The 25,297-nt window shown below is 34.1% G+C and overlaps 1 protein-coding gene across 3 annotated transcripts in view; it reads right to left on the reverse strand.

The window, feature by feature from the left end:
* FBXO8 (F-box protein 8) overlaps positions 1–25,297 on the reverse strand; it is a 47,010-nt gene that overhangs the window by 10,657 nt on the left and 11,056 nt on the right. Inside the window, exons 1-3 of one of the 3 annotated variants that reach the window (XR_007096390.1) lie at positions 15,450–15,786; positions 12,385–12,511; positions 2,602–2,728 (exon numbers count right to left, since the gene is read on the reverse strand). Coding sequence is in view for 2 of the 3 variants with exons in the window: in XM_047450062.1 (XP_047306018.1) it covers positions 8,778–8,831; positions 12,385–12,511; positions 15,450–15,778 (510 nt within the window). In the remaining variant the exon portion in view is untranslated. Of the gene's footprint in view, positions 1–2,601; positions 2,729–7,544; positions 8,832–12,384; positions 12,512–15,449; positions 15,787–25,297 lie in introns of those variants that run through there. The other 2 variants (XM_047450062.1, NM_012180.3) reach the window with 2 other exon arrangements.

Consider the following 25,297-nt stretch of genomic DNA (forward strand, 5'->3'; position numbering starts at 1 on the left):
CTAAAGAACAACATAGTAAAGAAATTTAGAAAAAAATTTGATTTAGCAAGTTTTGTTCAATTTCGTCCTTGTATAAAATGTAAAATCTAGTACAATGGCCACTACTTTTCAGGTCATCAAACTGCCCTTAGACCATTATATAATAGAAAGCCAATTGGATACTGCATTTAATTTTCTTTTAAAAAAACATTTTGAAGACTTTAAAAATAGTAATACTTAAACAATATAGCTCAATCTAGATTTCTAACTTTTCTTTCAACATGATAACCAATATATTATTTTTCAAGTATACATTTTAACCACAGTGAAACTAACTGAATATATTATTTTTCAAGTATACATTTGAGCACAATGAAACTTAAACTGAAATGTAACATTTTCAAACTGAAGATAATGTAAAAATTAAGTGACACAATATACGTTATTAATAGTAAAAATAATTGACACATCTGCAGGTCAAATGGGAACATCCCCATTGTTTTGTTTGCAAATAGCAGCAGCAATGGTTAAGATGACTGCTCTGATACTATTTCTTCTTTTCTACAGTGTTTGAAGAATTGCTAAGGTAAATGTAAAATCTATTAATTTTTATCAGTCCAGAAGTTCTCATTCTCCCTATTTAAGCAGAGAACATGTGCTCTATAGTTAAGGGAGGGTGGGCCTCACAGAATGTGAATAATTGACAATATTTATCTGAGGATATTTATTATGCAAATAAAAAATCAACACCTTGCTTTTTGGCTGCGGTGAAATAAGCGCAGAAGATTTCTTAATTAGTATGTTTAAGACTAGGTGTCTATGTTTTTATCCTGTCATTTCATTTCTTTCTACCCACTAAATTTTGTAATGTTTTCTGCTTTCTGTAATTTTCCATGACCTTCTATGTTTAACACTGACCTTGAGCACATACATAACAGAAATGTCACACATTGCTTTTATTAAGCTGCCTATAAATATAACAATAGTTATTCCTAATACAGTCACTAGATTCAAAGACTAAAGTAAAATCTATGCCCAGATTTTAAAAGTTGTCCTAGATAAAAAGATTATAAGAGTACTAAGTTTTCCTCTCACTGAGGAACCCATAACTAGGCTATTCACCAGAAGGCTCTGTGTTACACAGAACTAAGAGGAAAGGGGGCAGTGAAAATTGGGAAAGAAATGTAAAGATAGTTTTGATGTCAGTTTTAAGTCTAAATAGCAGATTTCAGTCTCCTTTCTTCCAGAGCAAGAACAGAGAGCACACACTGTCCACACTGAAGTGGGAGAATTAACAGCTGTGAAGAGAGAGTGCCAGTATCCTGTAGCCAGTTTTCTCAGTTAGCTATGAAACATAATACCATATTTTGTCTGGAGGATAATGAAGAGTTTTGATTTTACATTTACCTTTCGTATAATATTAAACCAGTTTATGTATAAACATTGTTTGAATTGGCAAGGATTTCAGCTAGAATGATTTATGGAAGACTTTTCAACATATTAAAGAGCAGAATGCTGAGGAACTGCTAAGGACAGAGATATATACACCTGAAATTATCTGCAGTTAAAAGATGTCAACAGAAAATCCCACATAAAAGAGTGATGGTTTAAGGAAAATCTAAATAAAAATAACAATTCCCTCCAATGGAGTCCAGGGAAAACACAGAGGAGGTATAGGACAGGTCTTCCTGCTTATTTTTCAAGAGAGAAAAAGCAATGGCAAACAAAATAACATGAACCTAATTTTCTAAAGTTTTAAATAATTAAAAGCCCCTATTAATTCGTTCTAATAGCCTCAAACAGAAAAAGAACATCTGTGAATTCTAATATCCCCCAAAAGAACCACATTAGTGACTGGGATGGATCAATATGATAGCTAAGAAAGTATTTCCTAAATAATAAATTACTACTATCAATTAAATGTAACAATCATTATTGTAATTATTATCAAAAAAGTTGCTGCTAGTTGAGTCACGCTTCTTGGAAAAGCCCCCTCTATCTCTAACCTGTCTCTATATTAGAAAAAGAAAGCATTCTAATCAAAATATGGAGATAAATCTCTATTAGGTTATGATTAATAATTGAAACTAATGAGAAAGTGACACATTTAACAATGATGCTAGCTAATTTAGAATTCTTGCTTTATAAGAATCACATACAAATACTGGATTTGCAATGTGCATATATACAACTGTTTAAATGACTAACCCATAAATACTAGTTTTATCATATTACCTAGATCTTAATATGTACATTTATAAATATATTTTAACAGCTCTGAAACAGTTTTAAAGTAAACAACATTTTTAAAAAAAGTCTACTAGTAGACAAGCAAGTTGGGATTTACATGGTAGTTTCACTGCTAGCACATGTATATACTTAATCATGTAACGTAAGTATCTGTTCATCCTGCCAACATTGTAGCCAAGACACATATTTTAATTTTAACATAACTCTGGACCCCTAATTATTGCTTAAATGTCAAAAAGATTAAACTCAGCAGCACTACTGAAACAAAATGTTACTGTATATGCAAAAGATTGCATATACATGTCAGAAAATACAATTAAAGACAAAGGGTATCATTTAAAGCTAGGAGATATTGATGTGACCAATACATACTTCATGAAGGACCATTCGTCAGGTGTCATATAGTTATCTACTAGAATCCAAAAGTTCAAGAAGAGGAAGAACGTCAAGGCCTAGAACAGTGCCTGGTTCTTGGTATTTTAAGTTGTTGTAGTTGTACCTTTAGTATAAACATAGAGTTACAGTTTGGTGAACACTTAGAGGCATGTTTAACATGTCTTATTTCATTTAATCTTCACAAGAACACTGTTATAAGTATTATTACTGTCCCCATTTTACAGATGGGGAAACTGAAGCACAGAGGTTAAATAACTTGCTCAGAGCCAACATTACATAAATTGTAAGTGGTAGAGATACTTAATAAATATTTGTTGAATGAATGTTTGAATCTACGTGTACAAAGCTTCCAGCTGACTTTCAAGACATGCTGTAAACTTCCAAGGATTATATAATTCAACCAAGGGAAAAATACAAAAACAACCCCCTTCCATAAAATGTATAAGCTGGATCAAATATTAGCGGCAGATAAAACCCCAGCACACTTTGAAATACCTCAAGTTATAGATTCTCAAAGGTCAGAGTCACCAATCCAAATAATCCAAAGTAGCATATCACTTTGATGCTATATTTAACTGCTAACAACCAAAAGAGATTTACAGAAATCTTAGGAATTTTGTTATAAAGAAGGCATCTCTCTAAAAACTTTATGATATAAAAGAAGAAAACGTTATATAGTTTTATGGATAAATGTACACTACAGTTAGCTGGTTTTAAAAAATGCACTTAAGGTAGTGTTTCCTTCATACTCCCATATTTGAAAAGCTGAAAGTAAGTTGATGGATGTCTTACAATTGATGACATCCAAGAATTGAGGAAATATTATCCTTTGGGTTTCTGACACAATACTCATATTTTGAAGTGACATCTACTGTGACACTGGTAACAATTGCTAAATTCATGAAAGACATGTAGAGGCAGACACCTTGGACATTAAAGCTGAGAACTTAAATCTAGAAGTAATATCAAGTTTCACTGAAACTGTGATCACAATAGATAAGGAAAAATATTTGGGAGGTATCAAGAGGGTCAGGTAGTGTATGATGAGAAAATAAAAAGCAAACAGATTTTTCATTAAAATGCACTTAAAAAGCTCAATGTACCACTGTAAAGTCTCTAGTTACAATTACTTAAATTGCTAACAAAAGTAAAATTCAAATAAAAAATTGTTCATTGTAGCATATCATATTTTAATATTAAAAATTTAAAAATGTATCCTAGGATGAAGACATTTTCCACTAATTTCAGTTTTTACCCTAGACAATTCACACTCAATGATACAGCAAATTAGTAGTTCCCATAGCACACTGAATAAAACAAGAGCAAAATACATCAGGTGGTTTGATTGATGAATAAACTATGGAATATTCTAGGGCCTGAATCTCTTTTTCAACCAGATAAAGATTAGAAGAGGGCCTCGGAAATTTGTCTTTCTTTCAAGTTTCTAAAAGGTTTATTCCGAGTCCACAAACCTCCTCTGGGAACTGATTCTACACCACATGTTGGAGTGACTCTGGGAGAAAAGGGAAAAGGAGGGTGGCTGGGATAGAGTATGGTTAGGGTAAGGTGTAAACTAAAGTTGTCCTAAAAGGCAAAGGGTAAAGCTGCCTTCTTAACCATAAAATCACCTGATGGATTAGATTAAAAAGAGATGGATACATACACACATACACACATGCATATCCACACATACCATATTACTCTCAAAAAAAAGAAAATCACCTCCAGTTTAGCACCATTTGACTAATTGTAGCTAGTCGCTTGAAGGTATTAAGTTGTCTAGGCAGAGGAAGAGGCTATTTAGTGTCTGAGAGGCATAATTTTTCACTTTGACTCTAATGCTGATCAAGGAGAAGGAGCCTGCCATAAACTCCAGCATTTTAGCTCCTATGGGTAAACAGTTCTTACAGAGGGGGGAGCTACTTAAGCCATATTTGGTGAGGGACTCCTCTCACTGTCATCTAGCTTCTTTTGCCCTGATTAAATTCCCTTCAGCAAATTTGGAGATAAATTGATCTGCTACTGAGAATTAGCAATGTTTATTTATGAAACAGGGTCTTGCTTTGTCACTCAGGCTGGAGTGCAGTGGCATGATCATGGCTCACTGAAGCCTCAACTTCCTGGACTCAAGTGATCCTCCCACCTCAGCCCCCTAAGTAGCTGCGACTCCAGACACATGCTATCATACCCGGTTAATTTCTGTATTTTTTGTAGAGACAGGGTTTTACCATGTTGCCTGGGCTGGTCTCAAACTCCTGAGCTCAAGTTATCCACCCACCTTGGTCTCCCAAATTGCTAGGATGACAGGTGTGAGCCACTGACTGTACCCAGTTAGCAATGTTTATTTTTAAAAATTTGCATTGAGGATTACATCTCAAACTCCTAAGAGTCTGGATAATAATAATAGCAATAATACATCAAGATGTTTTTGGTTATAAACAACAGGAGACCTAGTTCAAAATAAAGGGATACATTTACTTCAAAAATAAAATTACCTTGTATAACAAGAAGTTCCAAACTAATATGGCTCCAGGTTGTTGGGCTCACAGATAGCATCACAGACCCAATTCTTTCTTTCCAGTCTGCTATTCTTGGTAGGGTTACTAATACCCCTCATGGCTACCAGATGGCTGCACATGGTCATGCCATTATATTCTCACATACCAATGCCTAGAGGTGTACATGACACATGTACTTGTGCATGTGAGTGCATGCACACACACACACACACACACACGCACAGACAATACTACCTCTTTGTGTCTCTTTTTTAAACCTAAAAAATAGGCTAGGTATGATGACTCATTCCTGTAATTCCAGCACTTTGGGAGGCCGAGGCAGGTGGGTCACTTGAGGCAAACCTGTCTCTACTAAAAAAAATATTAGCCAGGTGTGGTGGCATGCACCTGTAATCCCAGCTACTCCAGAGGCTGAGGCACAAGAATTACCTGAGCCCGGGAGGTGGTGATTGCAGTGAGCCAAGACTGCACCACTGCACTCCAGCCTGGGCAACAGAGTGAGCCTCTGTCTCAAGAAAAATAAAAAATCTAAAAAATCTTTCTCTATACACATATTTTCCAACCTCATGAGTCAAGAGATAGATTACACGGATGCCATAAAAGCATCCTTCAAGGTGAATGGAGCTTGGAATAAAGAATCCATATTCAACTCTGGACCCTAGGAATGAGCCAGCCACACAACTGGTTGAGGTGCTTTCCCTAGTGAGGAGTCTAAATGGTGAGTTATAAGCCTTGGCCATGTAGGCCCAGTGTGATTTTTAAAAAATTACTTTTATCATAGGATATAGTGCCACTAGAAGGAACCCCAAGACATCTCTTGAGTTCCACCTATATCCTTTTCTTTTGCCACACTGTGTAGTAGTATTTCCCTCTGGTTATCAGGCTTAACCACTTCAATCACAGCATAACCACCTCCCCTCCTATCCCGTCTTCCTCCCTTTTAAAATTTTGATATGTTTGCTTAGTAGCAGGAAGACCTAAACTGGCAAGAAGGTAGGGTCAGCTACCAACCAAATTGTTGTGCCACAGGTGCCAATGTTCCTCCTTTGGATACTAAGGCCTCTAACCCAGCAGAGACCAGAAACAAGGAAGGCTGAATCACATGTTTTAAGTGTATCACTAGTTAAAATGGCGTTACAGATGCTTGGATGCCTTAACAAAGGCCATTTCCCTGTTTTTCATTTCTTCTAGCATCCTAGCTGCAGTTGTTGAATTATAAGTCTAAGCCAATCATGTAATCTTTCTATTCTATTCGCTAGTGCTCTAGGGGTGCTCGTGTGATTCAATTATGTTCTATAAGAAATGAGTAGAAGTACGCCAAAGGCTTCTCAAAAAGATTTTTCTCCCTAATAAGTATAAGGAATATGAGGAGAAAGCTTCTTTTTCTGCCTCTCTTTCTTTGTACTGGGGACACTATTATGGGGGAAGTGATATTTTGAGTTGTGGTAGCATCTTGCTATCAAGAGAGGGTGAAAGTCAACACACTCAGGTCCATCAAGAGATCATCATCTCACTAAAGTAACTGGGATACCTGCATCCAGGACTCTTTTGAAGTAAACAAATGTAAAGGGTTTAAGTCACAGTTTAGGTTCTCTGTTCCTTGCAGCCAAAAACATCTTAGCTGATACATACAGGGAGAAGTGGGTACTGCAAGAAGCCAGTCATAAAATGTGGAACATGCTGAGTCGAGCAGCATAATGAAGGGTGCTGAGAACTCAATTCTTCCTAGCTAGATCTTAGTTTATATCACAGCCAAGAATTAGAATTTCGAGTTTATCTTTCTCTTTCTTTATGCTATCTGGCATTGTTTGAAGTATGTGTGTCTTACTGTCAACTTGGTTCACATTCTACTACCTGTAAGTTTATTCCTGAGAGATTCACTTTCAGTAGAAAGATAAAGCCAAATTTCTAGATGTATAGAACTAAGGATAAAACCTCAAAAGGTAGTATATTTTCTAAAGTAAAAAGTATCTTAGTGGCCTGTCAGCTTTCATTAGGAATACTTCTGTGTTGCAGGAGGTACTAAGATTTAAAAGAGTTAGTACAGAGAATGCGATACCAAGTAAATAATGATGAATGGTCTATTAGTTACAAATTATTTGACACAGATATATTTATCAATATGTACAGGCAGTTATTTGAATTCAATATTGCTTTCAGGTTTATTGCCTTACCCTTACTGTCCAAAGTAATACTTCCCTTTCCAAATCAGATGGTAATCAAAATATAAAATGGAAAAATCTCTCAGTCTGTCAAGACTCAATTCAACTCTCAGGGTTTGTTTGTTTGTTTGTTTTGTAGTAAGTACTATCAGACCAAAGGAAAGAAAACAATTACAGACCCACAGACTTTGATAAGAGAGAAGATTACATCAGATAACTGCAAGTGAACAACAGGGTATTTCAACCATTCTAAAATATTTATTTATACACAGTAGGATTACAGATAATCTATACTAGGTTATTTCAAAATGTATTCCCTGGAATGTTTTTACCTTCCTCCTCCCAAAAAAGAACACCACGTCAAACAAAATTAGATATATATTGCATATAACATCCCCCTTGTTAGATAGTCACGATGTACATCAAAGTATTAACGGCTTTGAAAAGTTAGGCTGTAAATAAGCCAACTAATCATAATCTATCATGTTCAAATTAGACTTAAGAATTCCTTTTTAACTGTGTATTCCCAAGGAATGCACTTGGGAAATGTTTATTGGTACATTCTAATAATGCCCATGAGGGTTTTCATTCCCTAGGAATAGAAGTTAAAGTTATTTTTCACCACTGTTGCTACGCTATGAAGTAATGGTAATGACGATTTTGTTGTTGAATACTGGAGCAAAAAGTCATTAACATATATCTGAGATACTATTTTTAAGAACTGAATGTAAATTCCTGAAATGCTTTCTATAATGGAGAACTACAAATTTCCTGTTTATACTTTAGCTGGTCCAATAACAAAAATAACATGTTATCTTGAAAATAAGTTGCATATTCATTTCTACCTCAAACATGTGGATAGGTCAAATTTAAAATATTTTTATAATAGATTATTTAGTAAAATGTATAAAATTATACACATGTGGATATTTCTGCATAAATACCAGAAAAATGTGCTTACATAGTCATTAAAAAAAAAAACTTGTTATCTGACCCCAATGAGGATATTTAAAACAAAAACTGTTTAAAAACACAATTACACAAACAAAAATAAGCCTATATTAAAGTTAAACCATGTTCACTACCAATTTTTCAGATCCTAAATTTAAAAATAACTACGTCAAGAAAGTGTTTTAATATACATTGGAGCACAAGTAATATAGTTTACTGGTTGTTAAATAAAATTACTTCATTATACTACTGCTAGTGGAATAAAATTGACACACACAACTTGTACATGCAGGGAAAATACAACTTAATGTAAACAGATGGTTTTCAGCACATTCCTTTACTAGAATGTGGCCACCTGCCACAAAGTACACAAGCTCATGCACAAGATCAAGACGTTACATACAGCTGAGATCACAATGTCATGCATAGTACAACAGCGTGCCAGATTATCGTACCACAAACTGTGCAGATGTTCTCCCCCACCCCATGAGCCACTGCCAGCAGCTGCTGTGGAGCTTGGTTACCCATATCCGTGACATGAACGGTGTCCTTTGGAGAATCTTGTTCCCTGTGGCTGTAAGTATTCTTATTTTTATAATATTTTAATGATGTTTGCTATCAAAATGTTAAGTACAATACTGGAAATTATGAAAAAGTAGACTTTTTACAATACTAAGCAATTATATACATCTTATCTCAGGTACTTGCAAAAAGCATCACATATTTAAACGTATCATCAAAACTAATTTACTGCTCAGAGTTAAATGAACCTAAAATAATATATCTGATGACAGTGCTCCAGTGAGTGGGGAAAAAGAAAACAAAATACAGTCTCCAAAAAGTACTGCCTAATTTTGAGCACTCAAAAAACTTGGCAAGAGTCATTCTAAAGTCTGGCTAAAGTATGACTCATACAGATAAGTGCTATATAAGAACATTTATTAGGATGGATCTTTCACTTACATGATTTCAATTTTGAATACTTGACTTGGTAAACAATTAGCCAAGTTAACATTATTTATGTTAGTCAATGAAAGAAAGTACAGAATATAGTCACTGAACTACTTCCCCTCATTTCTCTGACCTTATTAAGTGTATTGCAATGTCCTTTTTTTCCTATATATTTCCTAAGTGCATTCTGGTAAAGATAGCATTTTCTTTTGCTATTAGGTAACATCTGCTAAATTACATGTTCATAAAAGCATAGAATCAGAATTTTGGAACCTCAAGACACATTGAGTGGCTCAGCTCTATGCCTCCTGGGAGTACTACATGGCCCTTTTAGAATGATAAATTCAGTGCCTCTGGAATGTTCCAGAGTATCTTTAAATCAGGCCAGGGAGTAAAAAAAAAAGAAAATACAGCCAACTCTCAATAACAATGGAAGGTAGGATAGATAAGTAAAATCTGAAGATCTAAAAATCTTATTTTAATTAATAACTTAAATCCCCTCCCTTAACAAACATTTGACTTATAATTTTAAAAAATTATGTCAGATATAAAAACAACTTGAATTTGAGCTCTTTTCTCTGCCCCCTCTCCAAACACCCTAGAGGAGGTACTAACAAGAACTGTATAGTTTGATATTGGTAGCTGCAAGGATGAAAACCTATTTATATGTCTAGCTTTTCCAAATTAGATATTTAAACCTATACATATAACATTTTAGCATATGAGGACCCATGTGTATTTTCATCTTTGTGTAAAAATGATTGCTTTATAATTTGTTTAAAAATTGGCATTCCTTTAGCAAGGAAAGACTACTTACCATAATCAATATCAGCAATTACATCCAACTTTTCTGACTCTGTAACAATCTACAACTTAGTACTTACCAGGTTACATTTCTCTTATAATGTAACATTTGAAAGTGATATGAATTGAAGATGACAGTTTTACTCAACATCAGAATAATTCATGACAGGAGCCAGCATGCCTTGATTAAATGGGCATAATAAGACTGGGGCTTAAAACAGCTGCCTCTCCTGATTCTTATGTACTGTACAGTACAGCACTGTACCATTCTGCCTCAGTTTTACTCCAGCAATCATCATTCAATTACCTCAACAGACTGATGCAAAATATATATCTTTATTGTGACTATTATTAAGATCATTGAGACAGGGTCTCACTCTCACAGCTTATTGCACTCTTGACCTCTGGGGCTACATATCTTTATTATGATTATGATTATTATCATTGAGACAGAGTCTCACTCTCACAACTTACTGCGCCCTTGACCTCTGGGGCTCAAGTGGTCCTCCTACCTCAGCCTCCGGAGTAGCTGGGACCACAAGAATGCACCACAATGCCTAGCTAATTTTTTAAAAATTTTTTGTGGAGACAGGACCTCCCTATGTTGTCCAGGCTGGTCTCAAACTCTTGGGCTCAAGTGGTCCGCCTGCCTCAGACTCCTGGAGTGCTGGGATTACAGACATGAGCCACTATGCCTGGCCTGAAAAATATATATTTTATTATAAAGTTCATCATATGAACTGTTTTAATTAGCAACAAATAATGTTTAAGTCTAAATAAAGAATTAAGAATAATAAAGTCTCTATAACTGTGCCATCATTTGAATATGTAAGTGCAGCAGAATCTCTTGTAAGAGCAGGTATGCCACAGTGCAGGATAAAAAAAGTGACGTTCTTATGTTGCCATATGTTTACATGGACAGTAACTGGGATTTGACCAAAAACAAGGTGAAAACAAGTATATTTTATAATAAAAGGCATGAGAAAAAATGTGCAATAAAGGCACAATAACAACATTTAAATTTATGATAAATAGTTTATCCATTTATTTGCCTTTCTGAAGAATGATCATTTGATTCTAAAAAGCAATATTATATTGGTAAATGTGTAATTTGAACTTCGTATAAATCATTCTAATTTCATTAAGGTATCAGTTTGCTATTCATTGACAGTAATACCTCTTTAAATAGTGATGAAAGAAAAGAAATATCTGAATTTAAATATTATACCTGGCTTTACAATATATATACTTTGTTATATTTCTGGAGATATGACTTAACTGGTAAGAAGTGTATCAGTAAACCTTTGCAATGGCATTTTATTTTATTTTAAATTTATGTACCATAAAAATTTAACAAAAAATAAACCATACATAAGTAAAAATCAATTGATTAGAAAAAGATATTATTGGTATTTTTATATGCATACGTATAAAATTGGTATTTTTGTTTAAGACTCAAATATTTTACATAGGAGAAACATTTCCCTAATTATAACAAAGTTAAGATAACTTTAGAAAATACTTGGCTGTATGATTTGAACTGTCATTAATACCTCGACAACAAATGAAAAAAAGTTGTTTTTGAAAATTAGGTAAATTAAAATAATGCTGCAGATTAAATTTTTCCACAAAAAATAATGCACCCAAAAGTAGTAGTTCTGAGTGCTGTATAATTTTCACTTAGATTTCTAAGAATAAATCTGTAAGTATTTAAACATTTCTGAAAATCTGAACTTTTCCATGACATAGTAAAATAAGAATAGAGAAAAAAAAAATCAGTGAAAAAGTTGTTTTCACATTTTGATCATGCTTACATGTTATGTTAAGAAAGAATTAAATAATTAATACAAAATTATTCAATTTTATAACAATCTATAAATAGTTCCTATGTCAACATGGAATTATATTGTTAAAGGCATTATTTGAAGACAACGTTTTGATTTGTCAGAAAATAGAACAATGTCCTCAATGATTATCTTTGATAAAAGTAACATCACTACTAAGGAAAAACAATAAACAGAAAAAAACTGCTGCAGATAAAATCTGATGAACACACTCTGTGTTCTTATTATCAAATTTTTGTGCTCTCTACTTATAATGTACTAATATTGTAATCAGGTCAGTAGAGGACTGAATATATATCATGGATGCTGCTACATAAAGTGAACAGGTAGAAAGGTTAGAACGTGACATGGTAAGGCGAAGAAAAATGACTATGTCACATAGCAATAGTTTAAAATATTGGTTTTCTCAGTGATCAAAAAAGCATGTTCAATGACTTTTTGTTTTCCCTGCTAGTTTATGATATTGGAAAGCTGCAGCAAGATAGTAATAAAGGTCACTGGATACAAATATTCAAGTTCTTCACTAACCTCATCTGGGTTGGCATTAAAGGTGAGGCTGCCTTCATCCAGCTGCATATACAATTTTCTAAAAGAAAATCCTAAAGGTGGGTTCTTATTGTATATGGAACAGTGACCCCAAGTGGATTTGCACAACCTATAAAATCAGAGAAAATGAGACAAGAAAACATTACTACATTTAATTTCCTAAGTTAAATATGCATATACATGCAAAAATAGTAACATGAAATAAGATTGAATTTTATAGTTCTAAAGTTTAAAATTTTTAAGTTTGTACTTGTTTTCTATTTGTTTACTAGAGTATGACAGATGCTTTAAATTTAGCAATTTTGACAGCATCTAATAAATGTGAGTTATAGAGATTAATAATATTCATGAGTACTATCTGAAGTTAAACATAAACTATTCCTAATAATAGTAATAATAGCTAACATTTACTGAATACTTACTAGATGTCAGACCCTATTTCAAGTATTTTAATTGGATTAGCCTGCCTAATCTTCACAACAATCCTATGACGTTGGTGATACAGATAAGAAACACAGACAAAACAGTTGCCCAAGATCATACGGCTAATATGTACAGATGCAGGATTTCAACCCAATGAGTAATCCACAGCTTGCAATTATTAACCAAGAATCTAAATAGGGTTTATTAACTAACCTATGTGCTCTATTGTGAAATAAAACTAAATGGGAGGAAAAGAATGCTGGGCAGGGAAACAGCTTTTGTTTTTCAAATAATACACGTTACAACAGACAAATTAAATACAGAAATTGTTTGTAATGCCACAACTTGAATACATTCATCAAGCTGTGATGTTCAACATAGCTGTTTTTAAGATACTGCTTCAAAAACACTAGTTCTTTATTATCAGAGTGATACATGATTGTTTAGAAATTCTATAAAACCGAAAATACTAACAGTTCATATCTCAAAACACACTGCAGATTGGGATACTTTCTAACTCTTCACAGAGGCAATAGCTACTGGTTATTTGAAAGTTAATGTTTTATCTTATTATAATGCCTGGAAATTCTGGATATCCACCAAAAAGCCTTAAATATAAATGCATTATTCTAGAGAAACAGAGAATACTGAAATTATATTCTGATACAATTGTGATGAGTCTTTGTCTCAAAATTATCTGATTTGTTGTGTATTCAAAAACACCTGCTACTTGTTGAGACAAATGAAACTGTTTACTTTCTTATATTCATTATTAATTTCTGCCTCAGATTTCCTTCTTTTAATAAACACACAAAGTGCAGAGCAACAAGAAAAAGTTACTGTCTGAGCATATAACATCAAAAATTGTGAGGACAAGGGGGTAAAATATCTAATTTAACATGAGACTACCCTCTTAGTAGTTGATTTATACTGCTGCATTATTTTTACCCACCAAATGAAATCACTGACTCAAAACTGTAAGTATAAAAAATTGTTTAGAATATTATCAATATTTTTTCAGTCTTATTAATCTAGTCCCAATAAAACCCAAAACTAGAGTTTTATTACTAAGCTTTGTGAAAACCAGAGAACTTCCCAACATCAATGAGTATTCAATACATCCAAAGTTGAAATTAAAACTAAGCCAGCCTTTAATTTCAAATAGAAGCAATTTATTATTAAGGAAAAAATCCAAGTATTATAAAAATAGGCATAATTATGGCAAATATTTCTTTCACAAATGAAAAATTCAGATTTAAACCCCAAATGAAGAATACATTCTGGTTGACTTCAGGTAAGGCTAGAAATTAAACTTTTAAAAAAAGTTCAAACAAACAGAAATTAAGTTAGTAAGGAATACTAAAATGTAGAAAAGAGATTAGAAAGAATGAGCCAGTTTAAAAGTACTTTCATTTCCTCTTCTATTCATGAGTAAAAAATTAATAACATTTATTTTAAAGACTCCTCATTAACAGAATTTCCTCTCACGTAGTACTTTCACTATGTCAAACAAATGAGTAAAAGAATAACAAGATATGATATTGATGATTTTTATCTATTTAGAGGTTGAGAAATGACCTATATAACTTGTACTAGAACTGTGTGACATCAGAAAGCCTAATTTAGGAATGTCATTACTGAAAATATATTTTGACTAAAGTTTGTAATTTATTAAGTCTCTCAATTAGATTTCTAGTTTGAAATTATAGGAAGTCTTAAAAAGATATTTGTTTTTAGTTATAGTCTATATTTTTATAAAGACCTATTTCAAGATAATAAGACAAATAAACTTTGGTAAAGGATGCTAGAAGGTCTGAGATCCAATGATTCCATGTTTGGTAATATTTTTAGGCCAAAAAATCATGTACCTATACTTTTTGTTAAAGTATATGATGCTATTTAAGGAGTAACTTAGGTTCAATAAAACAGATTCTATTCCAGCAAATGTTCTTAGATTTGTGGTTTTAATTCAGACTAGTACAATGTGGAAATTTATGTAATCTAAGTTCAGCAAGTAAATAAAAACAACTATTTGTCCCCTTGCTTTCTAATATTTGCCTACTTCATTGAAATGCTGGTTAGAAAAAAAAAGTAGATAAAATTTTCACCAGTTAAATTTTATTCTAACAAGCACCTTTGAAGAAATATAGAATTGAGTAAAAATGTAAGGCTCTATATGAAGAAAATTAAAAACAGTAACATTTGAGGACTATTCATTGATTTCGAAGTCTGCCTATTATTCAGATGGCAGGTATCCTATGGGAAGCACAAACTACACAGCATGTGAACACTCCAACTTTTAAATTAGAAATTCTCACTCCACAACTTTGCGGTATTTTCAGAATAAAGTGAGAGTTTCTGACTTATAATCAACTGACAGAGCCTGATTGGTAACCTCTCTTCTAACTGTAAAGTTATTATTCTATTTTCTATTGTCCTCCTTTTCACAAGATCAAATTTGACTGTGATGCTAACTGTATATTTTTCCAGGTTTTAATAAAGAGCATCTCAAAGTACAAGCCCAAGTTTAAAGAAAATATTTTGTAATATACATTATAAAAAGAACATTGAAGCATGATTATGTTTAGAGATACCTGAATTCAACTTTGGTGGGTTTAACTTACCCTTGCCAGAGAAGTTCATCATTCGCAAGGTCCTGCCAAACACATGAAGCCAAGCAAAGGTCAGTTGCATTCAGGTAGGACAAGATGGTAAAGCTTAGCTCAGGAGGCAACATTTCCAAATTAATGAATCCTTCCTGTTCTTTCGATTTCCTTGCCTTCAAAAGATGATATATGTCAATGCCTCCTTGGACTTGTTTACGATGATTGGTGTTAGAAATGTTGCTCGCAGCCATTCTCCTGCTCTGCTCTCTGGTGAGGTAGCCTTGCTCACTGTAGCCTTCTTGTTGCAGCTGCTGGTTTCTGACCACTCTCCACAACCCTTGACCCATCTGCAAGCCTGGGAAAAAGCCAGAATGTAATAAGGGTGACATTTAAAAAGTAACCCATTTTTCCCAGTGGTATAACAAATCTGACATGAAGCATTCATTTATCAGAATTAAAACTTCTCATTAAAACCTACTAAAACCAGAAGTATATTACTAAGAATAGCTGGAAAATTATAAGTGCAAATTTTGATAGACAAAGTTTCAGAATTACTTGGTTCGATCATCACCTTTATCCCAGTTTGCTAACTACTTCTAAAGTCCATATGTGACATAATCATTTTTCACGTGGTAAGATTTAAAAGTTACTGATGTCCTTAATACTCTTACAAATTATAATTATGTGGACTTATGGGCCAGTATTAAATACAGCTCTGATCAGAGCACGGACTTTAGTTAAAAGGCCTCCAGACCCTGCTTTTTATCACAATTCAGTCTAAGCTAAGCTAGCTCCTTTTAACCAAACTCCCAGATGCGTAACAGCTGGGAAACAGGCTTTTAGTTTAATTCTTGCCAGTCTACACTTACATTGTAGACTGTAATAAAATGTAACATAGGCCCTGAAGTCTAATTCAGAAACCTTGTAAATTAGACACCTAGAACTCCATGATAAATAGCTCGGTAACAGTAGACTATTTAGTTTTGTTGTTGCCTTAAATTAAAAATTGTAATTTAGAGAAATTTTCTAATTCTTCTCCACAAATCCCTATGGATTCTTCAGAAGTACCTGGGAAAAGACACCAGAAGAAAGGTGTGCTCTAGTCTCCCCACTACCATCTGACCTCCCACCAGAGCATTCTACATTTGTCTGTCACATATATTGACTTCCTCATGTACAAATGTATTAGAAAATTCCTAGAGCTAGATTTGGCATTGCCTTTAAATAGCTTTTCTGGAGCAAATAAAGTCATTCAGAACAACTAAATCGGAGTTCCTAATGAATACAAATAATTACTTTCATGATCTCTTTTTCAAACAAAATACTTTTATCAACTCGAGTTGACTACTAATACCTGTGTGTTTCAAAAACTTGGAAAAAATACTAACTTTCCCATAAAATCATTAAAATAGTCAAATAATTTTTATAGCATGACCCGAACTTAAAATATAATGTGGCTTCAATTAACTGTTTACAATAAGTACTAACAAAAACAAAAGCAAAAACCCCAAAAGACAAAAAACAAACCAACAACAGTGACTAGATATCTTTTAATCAGAAATAATTTGAAAATTGAGTGGAACTTCAAAGAATGTCAAAGATTGTTGTTGATTAAAACAGAAAAAATAGTGGGCAGACTAGAGCATGCCTTCTTCTGGTGTCTTTTCCCAGGTACTTCTGAAGAATCCATAGGGATTTTATTTTAGTATTTAAAAAGGTATAATCCACGCATTTATTTACTAAACCATTGGCTATTATTTGGGTAATGGCCACTAAATTCGGTCATTTGTTGATTAAAACAGAAAAAATAGTCCAGGATAATTTTTAACTCTTCCCCCACCTTATATTGCACTGCTTGGAATCCCAGCAGCTTAAGCTATACAGGTATGGTGGGGAGGTACAAAGAGAAGAAACATATTAATAATTTTAAAATGTAGGCACATTTGTTTTTGAAAAGAAGGCACAAAAGATAACCCTTCTCTCCCTACTACACACGACACCATGGTATTTTTTCCTAAATCAGTGGTTAAGCTATACAAATAAAATTCTTAAAAAAAAAAAAACAGAATATCGGGAAAATAAAAAGACAAGCCACGGACCAGGAGAAAATCTTTGCAAAACACATATATGATAAAAAGACTGTGCATCCAAAATATGTGAAGAACTCTTAAACCTCAGCAGTAAGAAAATAATCCACTTTAAAAATGAGCAAAAGATCTGAATAGACGCCTCACCAAAGAAAATACACAAATGGCAAATAAGCACATGAAAAGATGCTCAACATCATATGTCGTGAGGGAACTGAAAATAACATAACTATGAGATACTACTACACACCCATTAAAAGAGTATATCCGAAACAGTGACAATACCAAATGCTGGCAAGAATGTAGGAATGCAAAATGATACAACCACTTTGGAAGACAGGTAGTTTCTTTAAAAATTAAACATACTTTGTATGATTCAGCATTAGCTGAATCATTTACCTAAATAAAAGCTTTTTATTTAGGTATTTACCTAATTAAAAGCTTTTTATTTAGGTATTTACCTAATTAAAAGCTTTTTATTTAGGTATTTACCTAATTAAAAGCTTTTTATTTAGGTATTTACCTAATTAAAAGCTTATGTCCACACAAAAACCTACACGTGAATGTTTAAAGCAGTTTTGGTAATTAATTTTCAAATCCTGTAAGCAACTACGATGTACTTCATTATGCGAATGTATAAATAAGCTGTGGTACAGTATATCTATACAATGGGAAATTATTTAGCACTAAAAAGAAATGAGCTATCAAGCAATGAAAAGACATGGAGGAACTTTAAGTGCCTATTATTAATGTTAAGTAAAAGAAGCAAATCTAAAAAAGTTCTTTACTGTATGATTCTAATTATAAGACATTCTGGAAAAGGCAAAACTATGGAGACAGTAGAAATGATCAACGTACAAAAAATAGAGAATGTCAACAAAAAATTATAAGTACAAGTTTTATATTTGTTTAAATGTACCATGTCACATTACAACATTAAGTACAACTTAATTTTGACACAAATTGAACATTTTAAGTCTACTAATCATAAAGAAAAGTATTTTATTTTCACCATTGCTATTCCTCTATTTAACTTAGCAAGAAAATATCTAGAAATCACATTAATTGCTGAGCTCACCTAGCACAGCTGTTATTTTAAATAATTAAATTTATTCTCTTTTGTTTTTGTACCACTAAAGGTAAATTATCAAACATGGTAACTGCAGTATCTGAAGTCTCAATATTTAAAACATTTATAACAATTTCAGTCTATTTTCCTACAGAATCTTTCTAGTGGCATATGGTTAAGCAGCTGTTGCTACTCTTAGGCCTGTTGCTAGGGAACAAAGAATCAGGGTGATTTCCCTAGGCTCCGGACTTTAATGGGGATCACTTAAATTGAACACACTGGATAATATGATTCAGAAAGCATCCGGCAGGTAGAAAGAGGTAAAGCCAGCAGCTGGTTCTTTAAAAAATAATAATAATAATAATGGGGAGGTTGGAGGGTTGAGGCTCATGTATACATAGTTCAGACAAAGAAAACTGCAAAATTATACCTTATTTTCTGTATTCCTACTGCTAAACAATACTGAAAATTGTCCCCTTGGGACTTTCGTTTCCCTTTAAAGCAGTTCTTGATCCTGGGTAAAAACACAGTAATGATAAAGCACTCTGAGAAAGAGTAACATCATGAGTTTAGCATTTGGAGAAAGAAAAGGGAGTCTGTAGCGTTCTGCCCCCATTCCCTATCTTCCTTAGCATAATAGGGATGTGAAACATGGGTGTAACTGTCAGAAAAGCTTTAAAACTCTCAAAATGACGTGACATCCATTGTATAAGTTGTAAAGCAAGTCATGGAGGGAGTATAGTGGTATGGGTTTTGAAGTCAGACAGACCTGGGTTTAAATCCTGACTTTATTAGTTCTTACTTACAGGACCCTGGGAAAGTTACTTGACTACTCTGAGCTTTAGTTTCTTCATGTACAATGCAAAAAATAATAATGATAAAAATGTCTATAGCTCAAAAAGCTATTGTGTTAAGTAAGATAATGTACATAAAGTTAATTTCATGGCTAACAGTTAACTAACAGTCAATACGTTAGATATTACTTTGACAAGCATATTTTTATCAAGTGAAAATAAGCACTTTCATAAAGCTTATTTAATGATACTTAAACTGTTCTGATGTCCTGCCTGTTGAATAAGCTTATTTGTTCATGTTGCTACTTGCACAGCTTTGTAGGGCCTCTACACACAATTCACCTCCTTTAGTTATTTCATATTGTGACCATGTTTTTATGTTGTTTCTTCTTGTAAATCCAATTCTTTTATATCAATGACCCAGCAACAACAACAAAAAACTCTAGAAAACAAAAAAAGGCTGTGTTGTCTTTCACAGAAAATTTTAAAACTCAGCATGCCTGAGGATGGTGCCAATAGCAGTTCCATGAAATAGGTCTTTGTGTTATTGTTAATAATCTGTCAAGATGTGGCTAGGTATGGTGACTCATGTCTGTAATCCCAGCACTTTTCGAGAAGCTGAGGCAGGAGGACTGCTTGAGACCAAGAGTTCAAGACCAGACTGGGCAACATAGACCCCGTTTCAACAAAATACAAAAAAAGTTAGCTAGGTGCGATGGTGCATACCTGTAGTCCTATCCACTCAGGAGTCTGAGGCAGGAAGATCACTTGAGCTCAGGAGTTTGAGGTTATAGTGAGCTATGATCACACCACTGCACTCCAGCCTGAGTGACAGAGTGAGACCTTGCCTCTAAAAAAAATTAAAATTAAAAATTAAAAGAAAATAAACTGTCAACACTAGCTCTAAAAGAGATGTAGAATATGATGCAGTTTCATGCGGGGTTCGTCCATGATTTCAAACTCTTGAAAATAGTGTTTAGACTGAACCAATTAAAACTTAATTTCAAAGTATAAAGTTTTCAGATTTGTGTTAAAAGTTTTAATAATATCTTGGTATAAAGATTTTAAAACTGAAACATAATATTATAAAAGATATATTACTGTCCTGTCACTTGCAGCAATTGTTAGGTAAAATAAAATTCAGCTGCAATGTGGAATCACTGAATATGCAAAAAGTTTCAAATTCAAAAAAAATTCAACACAAAATAAGTTTTTGTATTTGAAATCACTAGTTTTGGTGTAAATATGGATTTTGTGATGAAACTACAGCTTTATTTGTTCACTCAAAATAGGTGGAGAAAATAGATATTTATTTCTTTGAAAAAATATTTACTCTTCTAAGAGCATAGTCTATGTTAGTCTATCTCATACAGAAATAAAAGAAACACGGTTGCTTCTTGTTATTCATGGCAATTATGTTCTTTAAAGTTTCTGCAAACACTGAATTAGCAATACTGAACCATTGTTCCTAGGGAATTACAGGGTTAGGTTACTGTAAGCCTCTATTCACAATATTTTCATTAACTGATCAATACATAACCTTACTGTATGTGTGTTTCTGCTGAAAGACATTTAATACATATTGCTAATTCATTAACTGTGAACTCATGGCCAACCGCACTATAACTCAGGCTTGAATGAGGCTTATCTAACATGTATTTTATCCATAAGGCACAACACTTAGGAAAACTAGATAACGCTTCTGCACTAGGCTTGGGGGCCATTTTTTGTTTTGTTTTGTTTTGTTTTGTTTTTGAGATGGAGTCTCGCTGTGTCGCCCAAGCTGGAGTGCAGTGGCGCGATCTCGGCTCACTGCAAGTTCCGCCTCCCTCCCAGTTTCTCGCCATTCTCCTGACTCAGCCTCCAGAGTGCTGGGACTACAGGCGCCTGCTACCACGCCCGGCTAATTTTTTGTATTTTTTAGTAGAGACGGGGTTTCACCGTGTTAGCCAGGATGGTCTCCATCTCCTGACCTCGTGATCCGCCCGCCTTGGCCTCCCAAAGTGCTGGGATTACAGGCGTGAGCCACCGCGCCCGGCCGGGGGCCGTTTTAAACACTAAAATCACCAAGAAAAAGCATGTGGGAAATGTGGCATTAAATAAGCCACAAAAAGGACACTTGTTTATAATGACAGCTAAGATAAGAAGGCAGAGCCTTGCCTTCAACTTCAGCTGCGAATGTGCACCTTGAACAACAGTTTTTTCAGCTCTTGCGCATGTTTGCTAAAGGCGGCAGAAGCACCAGGCGTACTCCTTTGGGAGATACAAATAAATGTTAGTGAGTAGGTAAATTCACAAATACAAAATTATAAATAATGAAGATCAACTGTAATTAATACAATTCAAGGTGTCCCATGCCTTTTCTTCCAAATTTGAATTTATTTTGTTCAAAGCTTCTTTATCATGTTGAGAGGATCTATAGAATTCTTTCTAAGGAGCTTCGAAATGAAACCAAACATGTTTTTTCTTGGTCTACAAACACAGAAACATAACTTCATTATTTATCATCTGACAGAAGTAAACAAAAATTTCATAATTACTTAGGTCACAGAGAGAAATTATGCTACAAAAAAATTCTCCATAAGATTTCAAAGTTGAAACTCTTCCTTTCCAAGGAAATAAAAACAAAAAAAAAAATGGGGGAAAAAACCCCAAAGCAATCGCAACTGTACATTTTCTCCTTATTTTTCAGAATGGTAATAAAATGCGGCCAGGAGTGGTGGCTCATGCCTGTAATCTCAGCACTTTGGGAGGCCGAGGCGGGCAGATCACTTGAGGTCAGGAGTTCCAGACTGGCCTGTCCAACATGGCGAACCTCGTCTCCACTAAAAATACACAAATTAGCCTGGCATTGTGGTGCACGCCCGTAATCCCAGCTACTGGGAAGGCTGAGGCAGGAGAATCACTTGAACCCGGGAGGCAGAGGTTGCACCGAGCCGAGAATGTGGCACTCCAGCCTGGGCAACAGAGTGAGACTCGTCTCAAAAAAAAAAAAAAAGAATGGTAATAAAATGAATACTTACAACTGAAGATTTAGATACTATTTAGTAAACTTAAATTGATAATTTCCAGAGAATGATTAGCACAAAATAGAATAAATCAGAACTCCTTTATAAATTGGATGAAGCATCAAATGAAGCAACAGCCAAATAGGCAAACGAATATGATCCCAGAATTTCTACTCCCTGAAATTATGCAAATATAACTATCAATTAATTATAACCATTTTAATACAGCAGTCAACTAATGCTCCTTGTGTCTCAGAGCTATTATATACTGTTTTGGTTTAAGGATAAAATATTCATGTTCAATTCTGTACTACCTGCAAATACACTCAGGGAGCATGGTAGTAAACAGGAAACTTAGAAGCCTGACATGAATGGCTACTGAATGGCTACTGAATGTGGACTGGCAACCAAACTGTGCGACCTTGAACACTCAGTGGTATTGTGTATAAACATGCCACATTAGCCGAGACAGAGCTATTTTATTAAATTAATCTCATGTATAAGAATTTCATATTTTGGTTTATTATCATAGCTTACATTTCAAACTTAACTTTCTGTTCCTAAAGTCCTATGCTGCTGTGGCACAGTAGCTGGGAAGACGTAAATGGAAAGTAACATGATTTTAGGAAGAGTCCAGCATTATTAAAAAATAATGCCTTTGAGAGGTATTTATCTAGAAGACTGCATAAAGTTTCCTACTTAGCTAAAGGTCCTTTTATAGAGCAAACAGCCACTATCACCCCTATATGATCTGTTGTCCTCCCACCTGCTAACATTTCAGTAAAGTTATATCTAGGATTACTAAACATATATGGTGTTTTTCTTTCTACAAAAGCTCTTTTGGTATTACATAGCTTAAATTTAATATGCTAAACTTCAAGATCATTTTTATTCATGCTCATGTCTTAGGAATAGTATTTTTTTTTTTTTTTGAGATTTAGTCTTGTCTTGTTCCCCAGCTGCAGTGCAATGGCGCGATCTCGGCTCACTGCAACCTCCACCTCCCAGGTTCAAGTGATTCTCCTGTCTCAGCCTCCCGAGTGCTGGGATTACAGGCACCTGCCACCACGCCTGGCTAATTTTTGTATTTTTAGTAGAGACGGAGTTTCACCATGTTGGCCAGGATGGTCTACGAACTCCTCACCTCAGGTGATCCGCCCGCCTCGGCTTCTCAGGAATAGGTTTTAAACTAATATTGGGATAAGTATAAATGGCAGGGTATCATCTCATGACCATGATTTGCAATTTGTAAGATATCAATTGGACAGGAAACAGAAGAAACAATTTTTGGACTCACTTTTGAAACAATCTTTTATGGAACTTTTTTGGAAAAAAATCTCAACCTTGGTTGTATTCTTGTAAGATGGAGCACATATATTTATCACCTCTCTCTCCCATAAAATGACAGAGAAAAAAAAGGTAGAAACTACAACTAAAAGAAAATGAAAACAGGACATTCATGAACATGAGATTTCAACATATTTCTGCAACATGAAAAGTAGAAGGAGGAGTGGCTACTAATGAAGCCATGTAGAGAAAGACAGAGGATAGTCTGCAATCGTATGGAGAGGGAAGCAGAAGCTTATGTACCTTGCAGAAACCTCAAGAGGCTTGGGAGTCCAAAACATAGGACAAGGAAGAGAGAAATTCAGAGTCAAATGAGCAAAACAATGAGGATATTAACATCTCTGGGTCACTGTTTCCTTCCCTACACAATAAGAATAAAAATGTCCCCCTTGTATGATTTTTATGAGAATTAAATGAAATAATGTGCATATGTATATGTAACAATGGACCACAACCTCTCCCCTCAACACACATACATCACATATCTAGAATGCTTAGGTATGTACCCCAACCCCTTTCCCTCACTCAGGCAAAATGAAGAAGCATTTTTGCTAAAGAAATTGAATGACATTAGAGAAAAACTCCCTGCCACCACCCTCCTTATATTTACAATTGGCCCAGCATAATGGCTGTCAAACCAATCACCTCAATGGAAGGAATATGGTGCACAAATCTGTAAGTCACTTCTTATTGCCTCAAAGATCCAATGTTCAAGCATTAAAATGTGGCTGAAACACTTGCATAGCAATTACTTGATTTATTTTTCCTGATTTCATCTGGTAACTGGTCAATAAATTTTAATCTTAATTTAAATAGATATAAAATCTTATATATATTATGTATTTGGGGGATTTACCTATAGGAGGTACTCATCAAAGTTCTGCTATACACTAATATGGTGAAAAGGTGCATCTTCTTCTCAACTTGTACCTTTCCAGTTTACTTGGGACCCCCTTAGGGGCTACAAAGAAACTCCTAAGGCAATGTTTCCTAAACTTGGATTATGAGTGTTCAGTGAACTAATAGCAAATCAAAACAAAACAAAAGCAATGGGATAACGTCAAAAGGACATTAGGAGCTAATTTGAAGGAGGCTTCTATTGGCCAAACCTGGAACATCAAAATAAAAATGACAGTAATGAATTAATTGCTCCTTAGTATTTGCAGTAGACTGGTTCCAGGATCACCCCCTCATGTCACCTCCCCCAGATACCAAAATCCATGAATGCTCAAGTCCCTTGTATAAAATGGCATAGTATACATCCTCCTGTATACTTTAAATCATCTCTAGATTACTTATAACATCCAATAAGATGTAAATGCTATGTAAATAGTTGTTATACTGTATTCTAAAATTTGTATTATTATTTATTGTTGTACTGTTACTTTCTATTTTTTTCCAAATAGTTTCAATTGTGGTTGGATGACACTGGATGCAGATCCACAAATACTGAGGACCAACTGTATAATCCATTACATAAAAAAAGAATCTGTGAGTCTACACTGATGATGATCAATAAAAACATAAAGGAGAAGGAAAGCTCTTTTTTAGAGTAGAATTC

Source organism: Homo sapiens, chromosome 4 (assembly GCF_000001405.40).
Source record: "Homo sapiens chromosome 4, GRCh38.p14 Primary Assembly".
Lineage (NCBI taxonomy): Eukaryota > Metazoa > Chordata > Mammalia > Primates > Hominidae > Homo > Homo sapiens.